The following is a 4233-nucleotide window of genomic DNA, read 5'->3' as shown; positions in this document are numbered from 1 at the left end:
ATGTCCATTTGGCCAAATGTCTAATTGAGTTATCAAATATCTTTGTTAGTTTTCTGCCTCAGTGATCTGTCCAACACTCTCAATGGGGTGCTGGACTCACACTATTATTGAGTGGTTATCTAAAGTCTCTTCATAGGTCTCTAAGAATTTGTTTTATAAATCTGAGTGCTCTATTATTAGGTGCATATATTTAGGACAGTTAAGTCTTCTTGTTGAGTTGGGTGCATATATTATATTTAGGACAGCTAAAGCTTTATCATTATGTAATTCCCTTCTTTGTCTTTTTTGATCATTGTTCATTTAAAGTCTGTTTTGTCTGAAATAAGAACAGCAGCCTCTGCTCTCTTTTGTTTTTTATTTGCTTGATAGATCTTTCTCCATCCCTTTGCTTTGAGCCTATGTGTCATTACATGAGAGATGAGTCTCTTGAAGACAGCATACAGTTGGGTCTTGCTTCTTTATACAACTTGCCACTTGGTGTCTACTAAGTGGGGCATTTAGCCCATTTATACTCAAGGTTAATATTGATGTGAGGATTTGATATTGTCATCATATTGTTAGCTCGTTGTTATGTAGACTTGATAGTATAATTGCTGTATACTGTTGATGGTCTATCTACTTCAGTGTGCTTTGGTCTTTCTTTTTCACATTTAACACCCCCTCAACGACCTCTCATAAGGCAGGTTCTGGTGGGAATATATTACTTTAGCATTTGTTTATCTGAATAGGATTTTATTTCTCCTTTGCTTTTGAAGCTTAACTCATCTGGATATAAAACTCTTGATTGGAATTTCTTTTCTTTAAGGATGCTACATATAGACTCCCAGTCTCTTCTGTCTTGCAAGGGTTCTACTGAAAGGTCCACTGTTAGCCTGAAAGAATTCCCTTTGTATTTGACCTTCCCCTTCTCTCTATCTGTCTTTAATGTTCTTTTCTTTCACATTGATTTGGAGAATCTGATGACTGTGTCTTGGAAATCGTTATCTTGTATAGTATCTTACTGGGGTTCTCTGAATTTCCTGAATTTGCATGTAAACCTCTCTAGGGAGATTGTGGAAACTTTTGTGGACAATATCCTCAAATATGTTTTCCAAGTTGCTTGCTCTCTCTCTCTCTTTCTGGGATGTCAATGAGTCATAGATTTGGTCTCTTCACATAATCCCATATTTCTCAGAAATTTTATTCATTTTTAAAAATTATTTTAAAATAATTTTTGTCTAACTGAATTCATTTAAAGAACTGGCATTTGAGCTTTGAAATTCTTTCCTCAGCTTGGTCTATTTTGCTCCAATATTTCCTATTTTATTATGAAATTCTTGTAGTGAGTTTTTAAGCTGTATAAGATCAGTTTCATTCTTTCTTAAAATGGCTATTTTGTCTTGCAGCTCTTGAATCGTTTTACTGGATTCCTTAGATTCCTTGGATTGGGTTTTAATCTTGATGATCTTCATTGTCATTTAGATTCTAAATTCTATGTCTGTCACTCCAGCCATTTCCATCTGGTTAAGAGCCATTACCTGGAAGCTAGTGAGGTTATTTGAAGCTAAGAAGAGACTCTGGCTTTTAGGGTTGCCAGAGTTCTTCTGCTGGTTCTTTCTCATCTGTGTGGGCTGATGTTCCTTTAATCTTTAAAGCTGTTCCCTTTGGATAGAGCCCTTTGATCTTTAATTCTTTGATGCCCTTGTGGGTTTGACTGTGGTATAAGTTGGGTTTTGTCTATTGGCTTTGCTTCTTTATTAGTTCAGGGGGCAAAGCTAAGCTCAGCACTCTAGAAATTTGTACTCTAACCCTGGGGATGCTGGGACTGGGCCATGGCTTTTTTCTTTGGGCCCTCAAGTTTCAGTACCTGCTGCATTGAAGGGACTGAGGTGTTCCTAGTCTGCTGGCAACAACCCTCCAATGAGGAATGCTGGCAAAAGTATTTCAGCCGGGAGATGGTGGGCAGCGGCCATGTCCATGCATGAGCATGCAGGAGGTAGTAGAAAATGCCAGATCCTGCATTTGCATTAATGAAGCAGGGGGAGGCTGCAGGAGAATGTGTGACTGAGAAGCAGTTGAGGAAAGCTGCAGGTGAGTATGTGCTGGCCAGGGAGGACTGTGGGCAGGTGCTCATCAGTGGGGGCCCACCAGTAGCAGCTCTCTGACTATTAGGTGGCATCTGCTGGTGAAAGAGCTATTATGTGGCTGCTGGCAAGCACCTTGGATGGACAGCTGAGGCCACGCTGCAAGAGGCTGTAGCCAGTAGGGACCCTAGGATAGGCCAACAGACAGAGTGTTGCTTAGATCAGACTGGCTCCATCCTACAAGAAAGATAATCCTGCTCTGTCCTTGTCCAGCAGTCAACAAAGGCTAAAGCCACCTAGAGGAGTGTGGTGAGCCTTGGTTTATGGGTACCCATGGCTGTACTCTACTGTAGCTGTTCCTGCACAAAACCCTCTGGCCTCCATGCAAGCTAGAGTTCCATCCCTGCCAACTATCCAGTTCCCTGTGCCAGCTCAAATGTCCATGGGGATTGTGGGGTCTTCTACAGCTAGGATTCCAGAGGTCCATGGCAAGAGTGAGCCATTCCATGCTTATTCCATTCACCCCTTTTCCAGGAGCCACTTAGGGCCAGTAACAAGTCCTGGTGCTCAGCAACCCTGTGCAAGTTTCCCAGCTTCCTTCCCTTTCAGCCTGGGATCTGCATCCTCCCTCTGTACACTTTTAATGCTTTCTTTTCAAAGACCTATTCAGAGTGTACCTGGTTGTCTGTTCTCTCTTGTTGAGAGAAGCTCTTCCTGACTGTGTCTATTCAGCCATCTTGGCTTCTTCACATATTTTCTATTACAAATAATTCTGTAGAAAATTATCTTTGTATATAAATCTTTTCCACATTTAACATTATTTTTATATGATGAGTTAGTAAAGGAGAAATTGCTAAATCAAAAAGTATAAGATTTTAAGGCTCTTGAACTTATAAGTCACATATATACATATAATAAAAACATCTGTGTTTTTCATAGAAAGTATAAAGTCATAGGATAGATATCATATCCTCTGGTGTCCTCCTATTTCTGTGTCCCTCAATTTATCTCCACTACTTTAACATCCAGAGAAGAATTCGTAGTTTTAGGTAAATCCTTCCAGACCTTTTCTCATGTGTTTACACATGTGTTTGCATGTGTCTGTTTAATGTACATATGTACATGTGTGTGAGAGAGAGATACACTCATCCACAAGTGTATGCAAACTAAGCATACACATTTTCTACATAATTTGGAGATATGTGTGTATAACATGTATATGTTTCCATTCCTAAACAAAGACATTTATATGCTTCTTTTTAAAATTTAAGAACTATGTGCTAGTTCAAGTAAGAAACGTTCACATTTTCAGCTGGTTAATGATTAAAAAGATACATTCACAATATGGGTTCTGTATTAGTCCATTTTCACACTATTATAAAGAAATACCTAAGACTGGGTACTTTATAAAGAAAGGTTTAATTGACTCACAATTATGCATGGCAGAGGAGGCCTCAGGAAGCTTACAATCATGGCAAAAGGTGAAGGAGAAGCAAGGCACATCTTACATGGTGGCAGGTGAGTGAGAGTGAGCACAGGGGAAATGCCAGACATTTATCAAACAATCAGATCTCATGAGAACTCCCTCACTATCATAAGAACAGCATGGGGGAAACCACCCCCATCATCCATTCACCTCCCACCAGGTCCCTCCCTTGACCTGTGGAGATTACAATTCGAGATCAGACTTGGGTGGGGACAGACAGCCAAACCATACCAGCCTCTAACTCTCATTTAATCAATGATACTTTGTAATTGTCAACACTCTAGTTCTTTCTTTACCATGTGTGAGTTCTTATGAAAAAGTTTGCTACTCTTGTTTCAGAGTATTAATTGTACTTTAATTAGGAAATAGGAGAACTTGTCACAGTAGAGAAATATCTTCTCCTTGGACAATCAGCTTAGTTAAGTGCAGGACACTCAGAACACAGTAGTTATTCCTTAGATTTAAATAAAATTAAAATCAATAGATGCCCACTAGATGGTTGAAGATGGCATACTAAAGTGACAGTGTGTCTACTTTCTTCCTTTGGGTTGATGTTACTATTTTGAGAGGAACCCCCAAAATAGCTAAGTAGTAGCTTGACTTTCAGGCCTGTATCAGTCAAGCTGCTTTAGGCTGCAAGTTACCGAAGCATCAATATAAGTTAGCTTAGATACTAAAGAAAAT

At 39.5% G+C, this 4233-nt stretch overlaps 1 annotated feature.

Annotated features, from left to right (window-relative positions):
* Positions 1170-1864: an enhancer, noted in NCBI's record as "OCT4-NANOG-H3K27ac hESC enhancer chr5:143456065-143456759 (GRCh37/hg19 assembly coordinates)". NCBI's record gives its function as "activates a minimal SCP1, AML or CMV promoter by ChIP-STARR-seq in naive and primed H9 embryonic stem cells {active_cell/tissue: H9 hESC(naive and primed)}" and the evidence as "EXISTENCE:reporter gene assay evidence [ECO:0000049][PMID:30033119]".

This window comes from Homo sapiens, chromosome 5 (assembly GCF_000001405.40).
Source record: "Homo sapiens chromosome 5, GRCh38.p14 Primary Assembly".
In the NCBI taxonomy this organism is placed as follows: domain Eukaryota; kingdom Metazoa; phylum Chordata; class Mammalia; order Primates; family Hominidae; genus Homo; species Homo sapiens.
Note: the sequence above shows the minus strand (reverse complement) of the source record. Positions and strands in the feature narration are given on the sequence as shown.